The 22,669-nt window shown below is 42.5% G+C and overlaps 1 annotated feature.

The window, feature by feature from the left end:
- Window positions 133–333: a silencer, noted in NCBI's record as "peak1995 fragment used in MPRA reporter construct". NCBI's record gives its function as "represses an SCP1 promoter by STARR-seq MPRAs in K562 erythroleukemia cells {active_cell/tissue: K562}" and the evidence as "EXISTENCE:reporter gene assay evidence [ECO:0000049][PMID:32103011]".

Below are 22,669 nucleotides of genomic sequence, written 5' to 3'. Positions count from 1 at the left end.
TGCCTTCAGAGGCCACTACATCTACTTGATGTATGTGAGATAAATGGGACACTGTGCCAGGTGTAAGAAAAAAAAAAGTGGTAGGGGTCATGGTGAACTGAGAAGACAGGCCCTCTAAAAACATTTAAATTCAGATTCAGATCCTATAAGACTATCTCCCCCACAAAGTATAAGCTCCAAGAGGACAGAAATTTCCGGGGTTTTAATTGGCTGATTCTTCAGCACCAGGGACAGCTCTTTGCGCATAATGGATGCTTGATGTATGTGTTGAAAAATATTAACTATAGCTCTATGACCCCAGAACTATGCCCTTTATCCAGAAGGGTGTGGTTATAAAGCCCATAAACGAATATGCATGGACAATCAGTCCCCCATACTGAACCCGGAAGACTATACAGACAGATCTGTACTTGAGATTTGGGTGGTATAGTCTAATCTTTACAGACTGCAAAGAGGATACAGGTCTTGGAATTGTTTTTTGTTCTATTATAACTCTATGCCAATGCCTACAAGCCACTCCAGCGGATACAAGATTTTCTTCTTGATTCTCGGAAATGATATCCGTGACACACTATCCAACTTGGAAGCCTCTTCCACATGGACCCTCATTCTTAACTTTACCTCCCCTCCAGATCCTCTACTTATTCCAGTCATTGTTCATTCCTCATGTGTTCAGTTTCCAGGATGGTTTTTCAGCCGTTTGGATCCTCCTTGTATTCTACTGTTGGGTGAGAGATTGGAGAGTGGAAGGGAACCCAGATCCCTTGAGGGGAGAAGAAGAGATACTCACACTGGCTCCCTTACAGTGGATTATCAAAAAAGCAATCAGCAAAATCACACTCCCAAGATTAACCTCCAGCTAGCTCATACATTACACATGATTATACTAAAAGAATATCTATCTCCTACTGCTATATAAGCCTTAATATGTGCCACAAGAAGGAGTGGAAGAGGAAAAATATGTCCCTCCATTCCCCTATCACAATTATCATCACACTGTACTTTGATTAGCTTTACACAATCTGCTTCTCCTAGGAGACTGTGAGCTCCCTGAGGGCATAAACTATGTTTTATTTTTCTATATATCTAACTGTCCTCAAGGCACTCACAGAGGGATGGAGGTGGGTACCATATGTTGAAGTGCTCTTCTAGGTAGTAGTTGAAAGAAAAGCTGCTGCCACTGGCAAAAAAAGGGAGCACTTTAAATCAAATTCATGTTTGCCTCCAACAGATCACATCTGTACAAACTTCTGTACAGTCAATACTTATGCTACACAAGACAAAAGACACCAAAAAAGAGTTAAGACAACTGAAAGCTTGCACCATTCCGAATGATGAGTTTGCATATAGTTCTCTCAACTGGAAACTCTAGGTGCCTGCCCTTCCTTTGGTGTTAGGAATACTACATTCAGAGTAGAGAATTTAAGATAATATAAATACATCCTCTGGACTGTAAGAACATCCACAGGGACCACTAGGCACCAGCACTGTAAACAACCTAATTCCAGCCTATATTTTAAAATTAGATATATTAATACTTTTTGAGGTGAGGATGTGGAGAAATTGGAACCCTCATACACTGATGGTGAGAATGTGAAAATGTTTTTCCACGCAGTGGCTCATGCCTGTAATGCTAGCACTTTGAGAGGCCAAGGCAGGAGGATTGCTTGAGCTCAAGAGCTCGAAATCAGGCTGGACAACATAACAATACCCAGGCTCTATTTAAAAAAATTTTAAAATATTAGCCAGCCATGGTGGTGTTTGCCTTTAGTCCCAGCTATTCAGAAGGCCTTTGAGGAGGGAAGATCGCTTGAGCTCAGTTTAAACTCGCAGTGAGCTATGATCATGCTACTGCACTCCAGCCTGGGCAAGATCGTGAGACCTTGTCTCAAAAAAGAAGAAAAGTTAAATGTAGAGTTACCATATGACCCAGCAATTCTACTCCTAAGTATATATCCAGCAGGATTGAAAATAGGTACTCAAATTCTTGAGACTCAACAAGTTACAAATGCTCGTAGAAGCACTATTTACAATTGCCAAAAGGTGGAAGCAATCCAAATGCCTATCAACAGAAGAATGGATAAACAAATTGTGCTATATCCATACAATAGAATAGTATTCCACCAAAGAAAAGAATGAAGTACTGCTACATGCTTCAAAGTGGATGAGCCTGGAACACATTGTGCTAAGTGAAAGAGGCCAGACACAAAAAGTAGCATACTATGTGATTCTATTTATGTGAAATGTCCAGAATAAAGTCACTGAAACAGAAAAAAAAAGCTTTTTTTAATTAATGCAAACATAATACATGCTAATTGTAGAAGATTTAGAAAATACAAGGAAGCAAAAATGATTTTTAAAAAACACATATGATACTAGTACCTAGAAATAAACACCATAACTCCTTCTAGGCTCTTTTTTTTTTTTTTTTTTTTTTTTTTGTGAGACAGAGTCTTGCTTTGTTGCCCAGGCTGGAATGCAGTGGCTCGATCTTGGTTCACTGCAACCTCTGCCTCCCAGGTTCAGGCAATTCTCCTGCCTCAGTCTCCCAAGCAGCTAGGATCACAGGTGCATGCCATGCCTGGCTAATTTTTGTATTTTTGGTAGAGACGGGGTTTCACCATGTTGGTCAGGCTGGTCTCAAACTCCTGGATTACAGGCATGAGCCACTGCTCCTGGCTCCTTCTAGACTCTTATATACCAGTCCTAGCACTGGCCTCAGAGAGTGCTTGACTGTATCTTCATGTTAATTCCACTGTGCTCTGCCTGGTTTCTGCCATGCATGGTCTTCTTCTCAGTGCCTCTTTATACCCGCAACTGTCTCCAGTCCCTCCAGCCCTAGTGACTCTTACTTTAAGTAGACAATAAGCATTGTCTGCTGCTCCCTCTCTGTTCTCTTATATTTGCAGTTATGGCATAAACTCTGTGTCCTGTTCCTCTCAGGCCCTTCCTTTGGAATCGGCAAGAGCCTATTTTATAAGCCAAAAATTATAGTGTGTGGGGGTGTATTAATAGCTATATCTGTTATATATATATGTTATATATTTTATTATAGATTTATAATATATATAGTTATTATAAATGTATCTGTTATACTGACAGTCCTTGCTTACAACGGATTGACTTAAATTTTCAATTTTATGATGGTGTGAAAGTGACACACATTCAGTAGAAACCTACTTAAAATTTTGAGTTTTGGCTGGGCGCAGTGGCTCACGTCTGTAATCCCAGCAATTTGGGAGGCTGAGGTGGGCAGATCACTTGAGCTCAAGAGTTCGATATCAGCCTAGGCAATATGGTGAAACCCTATCTCTACAAAAAAAAAATACAAAATATTAGCCAGGTGTGGCATGCACCTGTAGTTCCAGCTACTTGGGAGGCTGAGATGGGAGGATCACCTGTGCCTGGGAGGTCGCGGCTGCAGTGATCCATGATCATGCCACTGCACTCCAGCCTGGGGAACAGAGTAAAATTTAGAAATTTCAACAAAGCAGAAAGTAGACATTTTCTACATTCAGAGTAGAAAAGTTAAGATGATATAAATATGTTATCTGGACTGTAAGAGCATCCATAGGGACCACTAGGCACTAGCGCCATAAACAACCTAATCCCAGCCCATTTTTAAATTAGATAAAGCTTTTGAGGTGAGGATGTGGAGACACTGGAACCCTCATACACTGATGATGGGAATGTGGAAATGTTTTTCCACAGCCACTGTGGAAAACAGTTTGGGTGTTCTTCAAAATGTTAAACATAGGCTGGGCATGGGAAAAAAAAAATTGAATTTCGATCTCTTCCTTCCTGGACTAGTAACATGTAGGTACCATACCCTTGCGCCACTGGGCAGCCGCAGCAGACCACAGCCCCCAGTCAGCCACATGATCACGAGGGTAAACAACGAATACTCTACAGTGTACTGTGTTGCCAGATGATTATGCTTAATGGTAGCCTAAGGTAGGTGTTCTGAACACATTTAAGGTGAGTGAGGCGAAGCTATGATGTTCTGTAGGTTAGGTATATTAAATCCATTTTTTATTTACAATATTTTCAACTTACGATGAGTTTATCCGGAGGTAACTCCACAGTAAGTTGAGGAGCATCTGTATATGCAGCTGTTATAATATATGTGCATATATTTGTTATAACTGTACACATATTTATAATTATATTCCTGCTACATAGTCCTAATTCTCAAAGCAAAATGACCAACTAGGGGAACATACATACAAGGAAATAGAGAAAAGCAAAGCTCCCCTTCAGCACACCCACACCCACATACACACACGTAAACATCTCTGCATTTCATCAAATCTAAGATGATAGCAATGGCAAGACACACCATTTAAAAAATTTTATTGAGGCATAACACATGTATAGACAAATGTATAAAACATAAGTGCACAACTCAATGAAAAGCAACACCTTAGTGAAAAGCAAAACAAAGCAAACACCTGTATGATCATCCCCCAGGTCAAGAAATAGAACGGTGCCAGTCTCTCCAAAGCCCCGCCATGTTCCCTCCATCCCCTCAAAAGATAGCATCTGCCTTGACGGTTAAAACAATCCATCTTAGTTTTACTTGCTTTTTTGAACTTTATGAAAGCAGCATCATACATCCTATAATCTTTTGTTTATGACTTCTATCAGTCAACATTATGTTTGTGAGATTCATCGTCAATTCCTTCCTATTTTATGTAGCCCTAAGAAAGAAAAAATCACTACCAATTAAACTATGGCACAAGGCTTTCTTGTCACTTATATTTTTTCTTTTATACCTAAAGAGCTCTTTTAGACTTATTTGTTCACATTTTTATAACATTGTTCTTACACACTCACAAAAAAAGGGGAAATAGAAACAAAACAAATTGGTATTATGTTCCTAAAACCACTTTGTGTTCAGAATCTAATTCTAAATCACTTTTGACTCACAGTCAAGGAGATCCATGTTTGCTTTGTTTTTTTTTCTTTTTTTTTTTTTTGAGATGGAGTCTTGCTCTGTTGCCCAGGCCAGAGTGCAGTGGGGCGATCTCGGTTCACTGCAAGCTCCACCTCCCGGGTTCACGCCATTCTCCTGTCTCAGCCTCCCGAGTAGCTGGGACTACAGGTGCCCGCCACCACGCCTGGCTAATTTTTTGTATTTTTAGTAGAGACGGTGTTTCATCGTGTTAGCCAGAATGGTCTCGATCTCCTGACCTCGTGATCCGCCCACCTCGGCCTCCCAAAGTGCTGGGATTACAGGCGTGAGCCACGGCGCCAGGCCTGGTTTTTTCACACCATGTCATCCATTGTACCATGGAATTGGTGATACAGCTTTTTCTTTATAGAGGGTCCCACTATCGTCAGCAGAGTTTTCCTCCATGCTGTTCGCCCCAGTCTGCAAGTTTTAATGCTGGCACTTTCTTAAACTTACCAGAAGTGTCAATGAGAGTTTTTCAGACAACAACTGGAATTCATATTTCTTCCTCAAATGGTCCTTAACAGTTTGTTGACTGACACATTATGGAGCTGAGTTGTCTGGTCAGACCACCTAGAATAAGAACAAAATTTGCAACTGGTCAGACAATGACAACCACATAAAAATGGCTGTGTAGCTGGTAGTGATTATAAGAGGCCATCAATAACATCACAACTATTAGATGATGCAATGTTTTAAATATGTATTTTAGAATAAATACAGTAAACTTTTTTATTTATTTATTTAGAGAGAGAGTCTCACTTTGTCACCCAGACTGGAGTGCAGTGGTATGATCCTAGCTTACCATAACCTCAAACTCCTGGGTTGAATTGAACCTCCTTTTTCAGCCTCTCAAGTAGCTGGGACTTCAGGCACGCACCACCACCACCCCCTGCCCCACCCCTGTTCCTCTGGCTAAATTTTTTATTGTTTGCAGAGACTGGGGTCTTGCTATGTTGCCCAGTCTTATATGGAACTCCTGGCCTCAAAGGATGCTCCTGCCTCAGCCTCCCAAAGTGCTGGGATTACAGGCACAAGCCACTGTGCATGGTCCTCAATCCAGTATAATTTAATGTACTTATTTTTGCTTTAGTATATAATAAGAAATGGAGAAATGGTCGTGAGGTAGGACTTTACTTCCCTAAGAAAGGAAGTGAGAAAATAAACCACCAGAGGGGAACAATTCAATATATCTAGAACATATTGCGCCAAAGAAATCAAGAAGTTTATTTAAGTTTGATTATAAAATGACATATGAGATGGATTTGGCTGACTATATTTGCATTTTAGCCTTAAAAATTCTTTGATGCTTTGTTTTATTTCTCTAATGATTTTACAGTATCTATGCTCACCATCACAGGGAACACTGCCACCACCCATCCACCCACCTGGCCACACCAGAAACTTGACCACCATATCTAATCCATGTCTAAACAAGGTATCTCCTCCCACCTAAAGATCTCACCCCTCTCTGCCCACACCTCTTTCTCTTCATCACAAACGCCCTAGTTCAATCCACCATCATTGCTCACTTTGATGACTACAAAGGCATCTTTGTGGGTCTACCCTCTTCTCTTCTAGGCCCACTACATCCATGTTCTACCTAGCAAAAAAAAAAAAAAAAGTTCTCTCTAAAATGTAAATCTAGTCATGCCACCTCCATGGCTCTAACAAGCAACATCACACACTTCTTACCATGACTTATAAGTTTCTGCACTTTCTGGTTGAGAAATGCTACACATGGCCATGCTGGTGAATCTTGAAGAACTCCAGGGCACACCATTCTCTAGATTATGATGTGACTATCAAGCCATGGAGTTGTGCCCTGTACAATCTGCCTACCATACACAGCCAACCCACCCTGCTGACCTCTCCAGCCTCATCTATACCACTTCCCGCCTTTGCTCCTCACATTGGACCTACATGGACCTTCTTCTAGGCCCCCAAACACACCAAACTCCCTCCCAATTTTGCCTATGCCATTCTGTCTTTTTAGATGCACTCACCCTCAGCTCTCCTTCACCTAATTAACTCCTACCAATCCCCCACATCTCGGTCCGAATGACACTTCCTCAAGAAAGCATTCCCTGATTGTCTGAGGTTTCTGTGCAATCATTCATAAACCCAGCTACAGTTGTAATGGGTAGTTTCTCATGTGCTTTGTAGCTTAATATCTGCATTCTTGTCTTGCATGTAAGCTGCCTGAGGGAAGATACTGTCTCTTCAGTAAGATACTCCCAATATCCAGCATATTACCAGCACACAGCAGATGTTCAATAAGTAGGAAATAAATGAATAAATGGATGAACCCATAGAGGAAGGGAGGAAAAGAGGGAGGGAGGATGGAGGAATGAATAGATGGGTGGATGTAGGATGGATGGATAGGTAAACAACTGAATAAATGAATGAAACCCTTTAAGACAAACTGAGGCAGCATTAATCCATTTGTCAGACCTCATGAGAGCTGCATGGTATCTTCATTCTTCTCTCCTTCCTCTTCCTAACCTGTCATCTACCTAATTTGGCCTGAGAATTGGGACCCTCCAATGGTTCCAATATTGCCTTTAACCTAAAGTTGCCGAATTTAATACATAAAAGCACAGGACACCCAGCAAAGTGAGAATTTCAGATAAACAATGAAATGAATGAAACAATGAATGAAATAAAATTTTTACATACTTAACACTAAATTTTGTTTTGCTATCAGAAATTCTAATTTTACATGGAAACCTATATTTTACCTGGCAACTCTACTTCAACCCCTGTACCAAACCTGGACCGTGTTGTCCCTCAGCTCCATGCCCTCTCTTCAACTCTGTATAATGGAATATAGATGACCTCTGTATAATAGGATTAGGTGAACTCGGCAAACTGCGTTTCCCAGAAGCCTTTGCTAACTGGCTTTGGCTGGGTTTTGCAAATGGAAAGCCCAGGTGGGAGAAACAGTAAGAGAGAAGTCAATGTCATTTTCTCCCTTCTTCTTTGCCTCAGGCATTATCTCTAGTAGCAGCTGTGTCTCCTCTATAACTCTAGCTCCTGCCAGAAAGCTCTCTGTTGTTCCAGCTTCCAAAGAGTGACCTCAGCTCCTAGGCTCTGGTCACACCATCCCCTCTCTGTTCCTCTGGCCTAGAAGAGATAACAGCTTCCTGCTGTTACCCATCTCTGAGTTTTGCCTCATGACATTAGTTTGGCTTCTCCATTGTTTGCGCATCTGTGTAACCTACCCCCTGTATTAACTTCCTTTTGTATTAAAACCTCAGGAGGTTTCTGTTTTCAGCCCTGATTCTACATCTCAAGTCTCTGACTCCTTGTACAGCCTCCTGCCTTGTTGCTAGGGATAACTTTTCCAAGACCGTGGGCCAAGGATAGCATTCTCAGTACTGTGTCTGTTTTCAAGCCCTTTCTCCCATATTGTAGTAACAGCTTGCTTTACCTGGTCTGATGTTTGGGGAAATGGCCTAATTATTATTTTATGAGTAACAGTAATAGAGCTAATATTTATTGAGCAGCTACTACATGCAAAGTACTGCACATGCTTCATCTCAGTCACCTTTCAATGTAAACTTATGACTTGGTACTATTATCCCCATTCACCAAGTGAAAACCTTAAGGCTTAGAGACTCAGGTGATGTACTTAGGAAGAGCAAACCCAGACACATCTGATTCCATGCTCTTAATCATCCTATTCTGCTGCCTGGGAATCCAATCCCATCTTTCTCTCACACCATCCCTAGACTTTGTTCTTAGAGCCAATGCTAATTCTCTCAGAAGATTTGCGTATCTTTAGAAGCTGGTGTGCAGGGTTTTTCTTGAGGGGTCTTGGAGTTTTCAGCCAGCAGCCTGAACCTCAAGACTGCTTCAAGTGAACCAGTCTCAGTGGTATATGTGTGTATGTGGGGGAAGGGTAACAAAGAGGAGGTGACCTTGAAATTTGCAATAAAGTCACTCTGTCCGCTATCATCATGGTGAGAAGCCAGCCAGGCAGCTCTGCAGGAGACCCAGGGAGACATGAAAGGCATACAGAGCCAAGTTGAAGGTGTCATTAATCAGGCAGAGGTACCAAGGGAGTATCTGCTCAACAAAATATGGAGTGTCACCAAGCAGCACTGCGAGAAGGCCCCCAATGTATGTTACCTTACAAAGACCCATTTTATAACCAAAGTAAATAATGAGATGAGGTTAACACCCATTCCTCCATCACTCTTTCCCATTCTTTGGAAAATTTCTGTTAATAGAGTCCTGTGTGACCCACAGAGTTGCCCCCAGAGGAATGCAGATCCCATGGAGAAGCTCAAATGCCGAAGACCTCAGCCCTGTTAGCCCTCAGCTGCCAGCCTTGCTCATATCCAGCTTTTTAACCTCTGCAAACCAATATCTATCATACCCATGGCATAGGTGGCAGGGAGTGGGCAGAACACCAGGTAGGGATAAAGCTAGCATGATTTAATTTGGTCAAGTTCCCTGTTCTGGACAGTGGTGGAATAGAAAAGGTAGAATAAGGTCTGGTCAGACTGGGAAGCAAATGGGGCTTATATCTGGCAGTTTCCTTCTGGACACTCCACATCAAGCACCCAATGCTCACAGAGCATTGCTGTGGTGCCCCAGAAAGGCCACCTCCAAAGTCCCATTGATTCATTCAATATTTAACAAGTATTTACTGAGCACCTACTATATTCTACGCGTTGTACTGAAGGTAATCCTAGACTCCCTATGTGAAGAAAGACTTTCCTCATCTTCCATCCTATTCCTTCAAGATCTTGCTCTCTGGTCGTTTGTTTTATTCTGTCCAAGAAATGCTAATTGAGCAACAAGTCCATGCCAGGCACTGCAGTTGGATATACAATAGTGAACAAGACAGACCCAGTGAGTGGGACAAGTTGGAAAGAGTACCGGATATGGGGGTGAAACATGGACTTTGAGCAGGTTGGTTTAACCCCTCAGAATATGTGTTTTCCCACTGGCAAAATGAGAGTGATCCTGCCCAATTCACAAAGATTATAAATCTCAGATATGAAGGATGTGAGAATGCTGTGGAAAGTGCTTATCACTCATGGCCCTGGTTGGCATACTCAAAGAGTTATACGAAGAATATTTAATGAAAGGACTATTTATAGAGGTAGGGGAATGATTGATAGAGAGCCCCTCAGAGACTAACAGTAGCAGAGAAAGCTGTTACCACCAGGAAAGCACTAAGGGTTGAGGGGGAAGAGTGTGAGACCAGAACCTCACAAGAGCGTATAACAGAAGCTGCGGCCACAGGTGGAAGAATATGGCCATTATCAAACCCCAGCCCAGCAGGGTGTTTTAAAATGTAGGTTTTATTATATTCAGGGATGGTGAAGACCAACTGCCATTAGAAAGATCGTTTGTTGGCCGGGTGCAGTGGCTCACGTCTGTAATCCTAGCACTTTGGGAAGCCAAGGCAGGCAGATCACGAGGTGAAGAGATCAAGACCATTCTGCCCAACATGGTGAAACCCTGTCTGTACTAAAAATACAAAAATTAGCTGGGCGTGGTGGCACGCACCTGTAGTCCCAGCTACTCAGGAGGCTGAGGCAGGAGAATTGCTTGAACCCAGGAGGTGGAGGTTGAAGTGAGCCGAGATGCGCCACTGCACTCCAGCCTTGGTGACAGAGCGAGATTCTGTCTCAAAAAAAAAAAAAAAGATCTTTGTTACCCACAGATCCCAAGTGGAGGGAGCTTCCCAAGCCTTGCAGGGCCACATGGGGGCAGCACCGTGGTCAACATGGTCGGTCAAGAGGCAGAGGGAGCAGGAAGAAAAAGTAAGAGCCTTTATTGTGATTTCTGAGGGAAGAAATAGGTGAGGCAGGGTAAGCAGGTGTAATATTAGCTCATTTGAATAATTTCAGTAGGCTCTGGGGCATATAGGCTGTCTCTAGTTCTCTGGTACCGGGCTCTGGGGTGATTAGGGCAGGTGGGTAGTGGCCCAGAGTGTGGGAGGCTGATATGGGAAATGTGTAAGGGAATGGGCTTCTATCAGTTGATTTGCATATGGAAATATGTAGGGGATGGGCTTCTATCAGTTGATTTGCATATGCAAATGTGTAGGGGATGGGCTTCTATCAGTTGATTTGCATATGGAAAGATGTAGGGGTGGGCTTCTATCAGTTGATTTGCGTATGGAAGTTGCACTCCTGGAGTGAGCTGTTTGCTCTCTATAGGAATTGCCCAACCCTGGGACGGGCATTCTGTTTAGGGTCAGCAAGGCCCCAAGATGTTGATGTATCAGAATAAAAAGACATGCTTAATACACAAGAATGAAGTTGGCAACAGGTAGAGAGAATGACTGATCCTTCTCTCCTCCTTTCCTTGAATCCCCTGCCACTCGCCTCCTTATTGGCTGAATTCAGCAAGAAGCCAGAGGGCAAGGGACCTTGGTTGATGCTGTCTGTACAGTTTAGCCTTCCAAGGAACAGAGTGGGAAGGAGAAAGAGAAAGTGAATCTAGAGGGGCAAGTGGAGACTCCAGCATAAATGCTGTGGAGATGTGAAGTATTATTAAGTGGCATGCTTTATCATATATTTGTTTCTAATGGGGCCTGTCATCCGTACATCCTTTCAAAATAATAATAATATCCCATATATTGAGCATGTATTAATTGCCAGCACGGTATTAAATGCTGTACATACTTTATTTAATCCTCATTACAAACAGGCATGATATTACTGTTCCCATTTTACAGATGAGGAAAGGAAGGCTTGAAGATATTCACTGACTTGCCTAAGATTACACAGCTGGATTGGTGTCCAGACCCGTCTGACCCCAATACTTATACTCGTGACTGCAATGTAGTCTTGGGGGCTGATTCGTTCTTTTTCTCCTTGTTACTGGTTTTTGAAGACTCTGTTCAGATCTCACCCCTTCCACGAAGAGTTGAAACATAACTTCAACCACCTCTTTTTTTTTCGAGACAGAGTTTCGCTCTTGTTGCCCAGGCTGGAGTGCAATGGCGCAATCTCAGCTCACTGCAACCTCACCTCCCGGGTTCAAGCGATTCTCCTTCCTCAGTCTCCCGAGTAGCTGGGATTACAGGCATGCACCACCACGCCTGGCTAGTTTTGTATTTTTAGTAGAGACGGGGTTTCTCCATGTTGGTCAGGCTGGTCTCAAACTCCTGACCTCAGGTTATCTGCCCACTTCGGCCTCCCAAAGTGCTGGGATTACAGACATGAGCCACCAGGCCCAGCCCCTCTTTTTAAATATCTAATCTTATATATGTAAATAACATTTTCTTATATTTTTATATTATTGGTGTATTAATTTCCTAGCACTGCCATAACCAAATAACACAAACTCGATGGCTTAAAGCAACCAAAATTTGTTCTGTCATCATTCTGGAGGGGAGAATTTTGAAATCAAGGTGTTCACAGGGCCATGATCCCTCTGAAGATTTTAGAGAAGAAGACTTCCATGACTCTTCTAGCTTCTGCTGTCCCTAAGTGTTCCTTGGTTTGTGGAAGCATCACTCCAATCTCTGCCTCCACCTTCAGATGACCCTTTTCTCTGTGTGTCTCTGTCTGTTCTCTACTCATCTTATAAGGACACCACTCGTTGGATTTACGGCCCACCCTAATCCAGTATGAACTCATCTTAACTAATTATATCTGCAAAGACCCTATTTCCAAATAACGTCACGTTCTGAGGATCGGGTGGATGTAAATTTGGGGAGGACACTATTTAACCCACTACAGTTGAACTTTGTTATCAACTGATTACTTTTTTTAAGGTTTGACTCTATGTGTATGTCTCTTATTACTCAACCACCCTATAAACTCCTTGAGATTAGGAGGCATGTGTAATGTTTTTCGGATCCCTCATTTTCATAAACACCTAAGTATCTGTTGAATGAATGAATGATTGAATGGGTGAACTAAGAGATAATAGAAAGGGTTGCAAACTCAAGAACCAGGCTGGTAACATAAATGTGGGCTGGAGTAGACCTGACAGGGCTTTAGGGGGAACTGGAGGGCATGTCCTAAGTGAGGGAACTGCTAGTCAACTCCAGACAACTCTTGCCATGTCAGAATCAAGTCCAGAGTTGCCAAGAGAACTGATTTTTCAATAGAAGCAGAAAATATGGCTTTTTACATGAAGTGTCCCAAGTTTTAAATGTTGGCAATAAATTCAAACTTCTAAAACACAATACAGAACAGACAAAATGTACTGATGAACTGGATTTGGGGTACAGGCTACCCCCTCGTAACCTCTACTTAAAACCCAAAAAGTGACTCTCAAGGCATCATTTCAGGCAGGCCAGTGATGAAGACATTTTTGACCCAGCTGGCCTTGTGGTATCTCTCCTAGGATTATGTGTGGGGTCAGTGTTTATGGAGCCCTGCAAAGATTTACAGGTGGAGGATTCATGTCCTGGTCAATTCATGCATTCAGTATTTATTGATGCTCCACTTTGTGTGATGCTGTATGCTAGGCTGGGCATACCCATCAGACCAAAATAGACATAATTCCTGACCTCATGGAGCCTGCCTGGAAAGGGAGGAGACATTCAACTGATGGTTATTTAAATAACTTTAATTACAATGATGGTGAACTGAAAAGAAGATGGCAATTTCTTCCTCTCTCAGTTTTTTGTGATGTTTGTTTAGTTTATCTGAGGATGAAATTTGTGGAGGGGACCACTATTACAACCTGGAGAATCAAAGTAGGAAGATAACATTCTTTTTAAAGTGATTGGAAAAGTCAATAACAACAGCTACCTATTTATTGAGCACCTACAATATAACCGTCAATGCACCAGATATGTTTAAAATGCATTTTCTTTAACTTTCAAAGCAAGCCTACGGGGTAAATATTATTTTCTGGTTTTTGTTTTTTTTTTGTTTTTTTTTTTTTTTTGAGACAGAGTCAGCCAGGCTGGAGTGCAGTGGCATGATCTCGGCTCACTGCAACCTCTGTCTCCCAGGCTCAATCAATTCTCCTGCCTCAGCCTCCTGAGTAGCTGGAATTACAGGCATGTGCCACTACGCCCGGCTAATTTTTGTATTTTTAGTAGAGACGGGGTTTCACCATGTTGGCCAGGATGATCTCAAACTCCAACCTCAGGTGATCCACCCGCCTTGGCCTCCCAAAGTGATGGGATTACAGGCGTGAGCCACCGCATCCAGACACTATTTTCATTTTCTAAAGGAAAAATGCTAAGGCTGAGGGAGATTAAGGAACCTGCCCAAGACCAGGGAGTCAAGCGAATGACAGAGTCAAGCTTTTAACCCCTATCTGTCCCACTCTGCAGCCCATGATCTTTCTACTACATAACACTCTTTCTCAGGAAGTGCTACAACCAACCATTACCAAGTACAAACTCCCTGTCCAGGCTTCCAGCCACAGTAACAAACAGTCCCCAAAGGGTGCAATAGCACAAAAGCAATAGAAATTTACTTCTCACTCACATATTCCAAAGCAGGTGTTCTTGAATGGTGAGCAACATTCTCCAAATAATAACTCACAACCCCAGAACCTTTTTATTTCCTGGCTTCACCATCTTCAAAAATAAAAGGGCTTCCAAGGTTAACAGTGTGGGAATAGGACAGGAAGGATTTTGGATGGAGGTTATTATGGGCCAGGTGGTCCATATTATTAGTTTACATTTCACTGGCTAGAATTCAGTCACATGGGACACCTACTGCAAGGGAGGCTGGGAAATGTAGTCTGTCCGTGTTTCAAAGGGAACTAGTTCCATGATCAGCTAATACTCCTGCCACACCACTTTTCAATAATCCATTTATATGGGTTGTATCTTTTGAGTGCTTGCAAACATTCCCCTAAGCTTCCTTTCCCTTCTGGAGTATCCAAGGAGCTTTTTTATTCATGTGCCTTACAGTTTTATATTTACATTGATAGCTATTTAAAGTGTGTATAACTGCTTGACACTATCATTATCCTGCATGATTTGCAGAAGTTAGAGTCTCAGGGAGAGAGATGCTTTCTTTTCCATGGATTAGAAATGAATACAGCCCCCTAAGCAACCTTGCCAAGGACTAAGAAAATGATATAAAGAATGAAAAGCTTTCAAAAGGAAGATATTATTCACATAGTCATCCAGGACTGGGTCTGCAAAGGAGATATGAAAATACCTTAAGCCAATTTCAAGCAAATGTCATCCAAGACTCTTAAGAGGTTCCCTCTTGTCAAGTTTCCCTTTATGACACATTGAAAATTTTAGGGTATATCAATAAATCATGATTTGCCATTTCCTGCCAAAGCCCTCCCTGTTGTGAAATTCCACATAGCTAATCCCTAGAACAATATCTTCTAGGGGATTTTTACAGGGTAGGTCCTGGTTTATTTTATGTTGCCCTTTATGTAAAGAAAGAATTCTTGTCCTATTCACTACCAGCATGGGATGCATGACAAAATGGATTTCCCACCCCCCTCCCCCACCCATTTGGGGAATACATTACACACAGCCTTCAATGCCTCCCCTACAAAAAGGAATTACTCGAACTGTGTTTCATGGAATACTCTTCCTGTGGATGCTAATAACTGTTTTGAAAGAAAATAGGAGGCAAGGAAGGGACTCTGGAGGAAAAGTAAGCTGCATTAAAGAAAGGTAAAGAGGTTTCTTCTTAAAAAATATATATTTACTACACAGATGTAAAGAGGTTTCTTTACCGTGGGACTTTTCAGAACCTTTGGTATGCTAATTATTAATTAAATATGAAAGAGAGGGCACATGTTGACTTTGGAGACAGAAACAGCTGCCATCCTTTCAAACAGACATAAGGTGCTGTATTAGGGTTCTCGAGAGGGACAGGACTAATAGGATAGATGTATATATGAAAGGGAGTTTATTAAGGAGTACTGACTTACAGGATCACAAGGTGAAGTCCCACAATAGGCCGTCTGCAAGATGAGGGACAATGAAGCCAGTCCGAGTCCCAAAACCTCAAAAGTAGGGAAGCTGACAGTGCAGCTTCAGTCTGTGGCTGAAGGCCCCAGAGCCCCTGGCAAACCACTGGTGTAAGTCCAAGAGTCCAAAAGCTGAAGAACTTGGAGTCCAATGTTCAAGGGCAGGAAGCATCCAGCATGGGAGAAAGATGAAGGTCGGAAGACTCAGCCAGTCTACTCTTTCCACATTCCTCTGCCTGCTTTTATCCTAGCCGTGCTGGCAGCTGATTAGATGGTGCCCACCCAGACTGAGGGTGGGTCTGGCTCTCCCAGTCCACTGACTCAAATGTTAATCTCCTTTGGCAACACCCTCACAGACACACCCAGGAACAATACTTTGCATCCTTCAATCCAATCAATTGACACTCAATATGAACCATCACAGATGCCAACAGGGAAAGAACATGCTTTCCATTTACCTCAATATCATTCTTCCAAGTTTGAAAACGAAGGCCTATACGCAGTTCAAAATATTACTAGATGGGATATTGGATACATTCCCTGGTCATCTCAATGTAAAGCAAGGATTTAAAAATAAAAACTTAGTTCAACTTAAAAGCAGAAGCTTTGGGGTCAAAAACTGGATTCAAATTCTTGTTCTTTTGCTCACTGGCTGTGCAACCTTGGTTATGTTAACTAATCTCTCTGAGCATCATTTCTTTTTTTTTTTTTTTTTTTGTTTTTTGAGACGGAGTCTCTCACTGTTACACAGGCTGGAGTGCAATGGTGCAACGGCATGATCTCAGCTACTGCAACCTCCGCCTCCCAGGTTCAAGTGATTCTTCTGCCTCAGCCTCCCAAGTAGCTGGGATTACAGGCACCCACCACCATGCTCAGCTAATTTTTGTATTTTTAGTAGAGACAGGGTTTGACCACGTTGGTCAGGCCAGTCTCAAACTCCTTACCTCATGTAATCCCCCTGCCTCGGCCTCCCAAAGTGCTGGGATTACAGGCGTGAGCCACCATGCCTGGCCTTATTTCTTGATGTTCCATTTCCTCATATGTGAAGTAGGGATATTAACATTATCTGCCTTATTGGGATATTGAGAGAATTAAAAGAGACAAGCTCTGGAAAATACTTGATAGGCTTCCTGCACACAATGGTCAGCTCTCCTCCAAAAATATTAGCCATAATCATTGTTATTATAGTACGTTATATAGCCTAAATGTATATGACATGGGAACTTTTTAACAAAACATTCATTATCATCTTAAGAAACACTGCAGAACTAAGTTTAGGAAACGCTAAGTAGGAAGACATGCTATAAGGCCAGACCACAGGCAAATTGCAGGACCCAGAAGGCGTGTACACCGGAGTTCAACATCATGTGGGTCATCTCTTTATCCATATCTCAAAATCCAGAATAATATATCTGGAGATTGTGCCAACTGCATCATTTCCCAGGTCCACCTGCAAATGTTTGGTGTCTGGGCCTCTGATCACCAATCTCAATTCCAGGCAGGACTGCAGAGTCTGGGGCTGACCTTTCCTAGTTCACAATCAGGTTCTGTCGGCTGAACACGGGACCCCACCAATGACCATTACATCTACCACTTAAGGTCAATGCTTCCCTGTCTCCTCCTAGTGTTGATTTTGTTCCTGTTGGTAAAATGCCCCCTTGTCCTTTGAGTCTACTCCAATCTGTCTGCTCCAGGCTTTAGAAGAGAGGACCTGCCACCAAAATGCGGTTGTAGCAATTCAAGTTTCAATGCATGTTGATAGTAAAATAATTATTGTTGCCTCACTCCTTAGCACTTACAATATTCCAGGCAGTGTACTAAGCACCTAATATGCACCACCTCGTCTAATCCTTATAAGAACTCTATCAGGTAAGTCCTATGAGGTGCCCATGATACAGATAAAGAGAGCAAGGTTCTAAGAGGTAAAATGACTTGCCCAAACTCTCATAGTAAGTTACCATCTGAACTTGGGCTAGGTTTCCTTAATTTCGCTTATCAACTTCACACTGTCTCCTCTTTTTCATAGATTCCCTCCCTCTCCTGCCTCTTCGCTGCTGTGAGCTCCAAGAAATAAAAAAACACTGAATGGATTTAGGCTTTAGGCAAGGAGGGACAATGTCAGTTTGACATATTGATTTTCAGAAAAAAATCGCTTTCAGTCTATTGATATTCAGCAAATTGGCTTGCTTCCAATATCAGAACTAGTAGTGGGTGGCTTATTCAAGAAAGCAAAGTGAGGAATCATAAAACATAATGCATTCATTTCTTAAATGTTTTCATTTAACCTAAAACAAAGCAATGTCATTTGTCCACCAATCTTTTGATGTAGGGAGAAGGACTTGTCTGGGAGCATAAGAGCCCTAATGGAATTCCCTTTCTCATTTTTGCATAAACCAAAATCATAATACATTACTTTTTATATCCAATTCCAATTTCTTTACAAGTAATTTCTTTACAATTACTTTAAAGCACATGTAAAGTAACCTGAGTGTAGCACTCTTCCAGGTTTGTAATTTTTTTTTTTTTTTTTTTTTTTTGAGACTGAGTCTCGCTCTTTCGCCCAGGCCGGACTGCAGTGGCGCCATCTCGGCTCACTGCAAGCTCCGCCTCCCGGGTTCACGCCATTCTCCTGCCTCAGGCTCCCGATTAGCTGGGACTACAGGCGCCCACCCCCGCGCCTGGCTAATATTTTGTATTTTTAATAGAGACGGGATTTCACCTTATTAGCCAAGATGGTCTCGATCTCCTGACCTCGTGATCTGCCCGCCTCGGCCTCCCAAAGTGCTAGGATTACAGGCGTGAGCCACCGTGCCCAGCCTGTAATTTTTTTTTTTTTTTTTTACCTATTTCTCAGTTTTTGTCCCTTTATCTGACAACATTTCTTTGCAGCTCATCTTTTCAAGTTTAAAGCATTTACCTTGGTGTTCATAGAAACAACTCCTCTAACTCCTGTATTTTTTATTGGCGATTTGTAATATTTGATTAATCTATGTACTTACAATAGAACAAAATATAGGAGCCGTACTCTACCTCCCAACGTCGGCCTGGCTCACTCTCTTACCTCCTTCAGATTTTTGCTCAACTGCTACCTTCTCAGTAAGGTGATCTCTGCTTACTTTATTTAAAATTCCAACACTCCCTCTTCCCCTTCCCTGCTCACTTTTCTCTATAGCACTTATAACCATCTGACATAACGAACATTTTATTTCTTTTGTTTGTTGTTGTCTTACTCCATCATAATATGTCATGAAGACAAATTTAAAATCTGTTATATTCCTAGTGCCCAGCACATTTGTAGGTTGTCAACAGATGTACGTCAACTGAATGAACCAATGCCCCAGAATTGTGACTAGGGCCCAAAGCTGACACCAAAGATATCTTGAGTACCTCTGTGTTTTAAAAAGAGCCCACCCAACTTTGAGCTCAGACATCTATCTCAGAGGCTTACCAAGAGAAGTAAACCTGACCCTCCCACCCCCAGTTCTCATTCCATGCTTCTGCCTTTTCCTAGACTATAAAAGAAGGCAGCCATAGCATAGTGAGTAAAGTTTTGTGGTGTCAGATGATTCCTAATCCTCCACATAGGGTGAGTTGGTAGGGAGATAGTTCTCCCACTGTGAGGCCAAATAAGGAGAGCTTTTTCTCTTTGGTTTGCTTTTTTACAATTTTTCTAGAATGTGCCCAGGTACTGATTTCTTTCTTTCTTTTTTTCGTTTTTGAGACAGAGTTTTGCTCTGTCACCCAGGCTGGAGTGTAGTGGCATGATCTCAGCTCACTACAACCTCCAACTCCTGGGTTCAAGCAATTCTCCCTGCCTCAGCCTCCTGAGAAGCTAGGACTACAGGAGCACACCACCACGCCCAGCTAATTTTTGTGTTTTTTAGTAGAGATGGGGTTTCACCATGTTGGCCAGGTTGGTCTTGAACTCCTGACCTCAAGTGATCTGCCCACCTTGGCCTCCCAAAGTGCTGGGATTACAGGTGTGAGCCACTGCACCTGGCCTAATTTCCTTATATTTATCATGTTTGGGGTTTGTGGACATCTTAAATCTATGGCTTGGTGTCTTTCATCAGCTTCAGAACATTTTTAGCTACTGTCTCTACAAATATCCCCTCTGCTACATTTCCCTCCTCTTCTAATGGGACTCCAGTTAGACCTCATTACATGCCCCAAGTCTCTTACTTCTCCTTTGAGTTTACCAACCTTTTGTGTCTTCATTCTGGATTTTACTATTTTCTTCTGACCCATCTTCCAATTCACCAAGTTCTCTTTGGACTCTGTCTAATCTGCTTTTAAGCCCATCTGCCAACTTCTTAAGTTGGTTTTTGTTTTTGTTTTTATTTTTGTTTTTCATTTCTAGAACTTCCAGTTGCTTCATTTTATTATTTCTAGTTGTATGCTGAAATTCTCAATTTTGTCTTTTATGTCCTTGAACATGGTAAGCAGAGTTATTTTAAAGTCTTTGTTTGATAACTCCAATATTTGGAGGCCTTAGGAGGTAGTCTCTGCCAGAGCTTGTCTACTTCCATTTCACCCTTACCTCTAGGGTACCGCCCTTCAGGGTTCCAACCAAGAATAAGGAGGTTTCACCAAGGCCTCTTTTCCTTGGCAAACCATGAGTTCCAACCCCTGTGCCTCTGGCCCTATGAGAGTGACAAAATTATCACTCAACCTCTTAGCCTCTCATCACAACCAGATTTACCAGATACTAGTCTCATCTCCCTGGGCCTCTAGATTCTGGTGAATTTTTACTACTTGTTAGCTCTCTGATGTCTTGAAGTAGTGTGTGTGTGTATGTGTGTCTGTGCATCTGTGTGCATATATGTCTGTGTGTATGCGTGTGTATACATACATATATTTATATATGTATATATTTATACAAATATGTGTGTGAATACACATACATATTTTTTTTCTTTTTTTGAGAACAGAGTCTCACTCTGTTGCCCAGGCTGGAGTGCAGTGGCGTGATCTCAGCTCACTGCAACCTCCACCTCTGGGTTCAAGCGATTCTCGTGCCTCAGCCTCCTGAGTAGCTGGGATTACAGGCACCCACCGCCACAGGCAGCTAATTTTTGTATTTTTAATAAAGATGGGGTTTCACCATGTCAGCCACGCTGGTCTCAAACTCCTGGCCTCAGGTGATCCCCCCACCATGGCCTCCCAAAGTGCTGGGATTACAGGCGTGAGCCACCGCACCCAGCTATATATATATATATAATTATTATTATTATTCACACTGTCTAGTGGGAGGATTGGTTCAAACTGCCTTGTCGGCTGTTATCAGAAGCAGAGGTCTCTGTCCTATCTGTGTCAGGGTTGGTCTAGGGTGAGATGAGTGAGGTATCTGGGACACAAAACTGAAGGCGCTGCTCCCTGCAGGTCTATAAAATGCAGGGCTGGCACCTGAGAATGAGCACATCCTTACATTTTTTGCCCTGGGCACCTCATTTACCTCCCCTTTATGCCAGTCCTAACCCGTATATGTTTGCAGAAGCTTAAACACCTGGGCAGACACACAGCTGAGAGAACTCACATGTTAGAAAATGGAAAATGGGCTGGGAAATATAGACTTTCCTTCTTCATTTACTTCTAAATTGGTTCACTGTTCTTATCAAATCAGATATTATTGTTGACTATATGCTAAGTGCCTGACATGCATTGTCTCATGTAATCCTCACAGCAGCCTTACTGAGTAGATTCCGTCCTTATCTCCACTTTGCACGTGAGGAAATGAAAGCACACAGAGATTAAGTAACTTGCCCATGTTCCCAAAACTGATAGGGGATGGAGTCAGATTCTGAACCCAGGTCGGTGGGTTCCCAGGTCTTTATGTCTAACCACACATGGCCATCCATGACGGCTCGTGTTAAAAGCACTTTTGCAATTTAAAAAATGGTGCAAAATAACATCTAAAATAATATTTTAATTAATAATACATATATTATATGTGGAAAACAAATATCAAATTTTCATACCCCAAAACACAGGGCACTACTACTGTTGGCCAAAGCTGTTTCCACCCTGCAGCAGGGAGAAGCAAGTTTCCACCAGGCCCCTCCCTCCTTCCCCTCCCCGGCCCTTTCAGGCTTCCAAGCACAAAGGAGAAATGACCTGGGGCCTATTCTCCGACTTGTCCAGAGGCCAGACTACTGCCTGGGCCACATCGGTCTGCCTGTTGTTACCATGTCAACTCGGGCCTTTGTCCACGACATGGTGCCCGACTCCCATTACTCATTCTGTCCTTTCCTGTCCAGCTGTGCCAATAAAATGATTTATCAGCAGGAGCTTGGGACAAGCTGCCAGGTTTGGGGCAGAAAAACGAGGCATGGGAACGATTTTACTAAATAAAGGCCCGATCTCCAAAAAACACACTTTATAATCTCAAACACCCATCCTGGGAGCTCTGGATGTTGCATTCATTTATTCGTTCATTCATTCAACAAATATTTCCTGAGGACCTAGAGCTGGATTTGGCCTGCGGGAAATGGTGGTAAACAAAAGACAGAAGGCCTCTTCCCTCTTGGGGATTACACACCTCCTGAAGGGGAGGTAGACACACTACATGTTACTTATAGGCACTTCCAAGTAAGTAAGAGGTGTAAGGCTAGAAGCAGGGCCCTCAAATAGTCCAGGGGATAGAGAAGGACTCTCTGAGGAGGGGATTCTTGAGCTGTGATCTGAAGGCAGAAGGGGAGTTAACTCCACCAAGATGGAGGGGGAAAGCATGCCAGGCAGAGGGTAGCTCACAGGCAAAGACCCTGGGGTGGGAAGAAACTTGGTGTCTGTGAGGAGCTGTAATAGGAAGTGTGACCAGGAAGCAGAGAGGGG

The sequence above is a fragment of the Homo sapiens genome, chromosome 12 (genome assembly GCF_000001405.40).
Source record: "Homo sapiens chromosome 12, GRCh38.p14 Primary Assembly".
NCBI lineage: Eukaryota > Metazoa > Chordata > Mammalia > Primates > Hominidae > Homo > Homo sapiens.
This window is presented reverse-complemented; position numbering and strand designations above follow the sequence as displayed.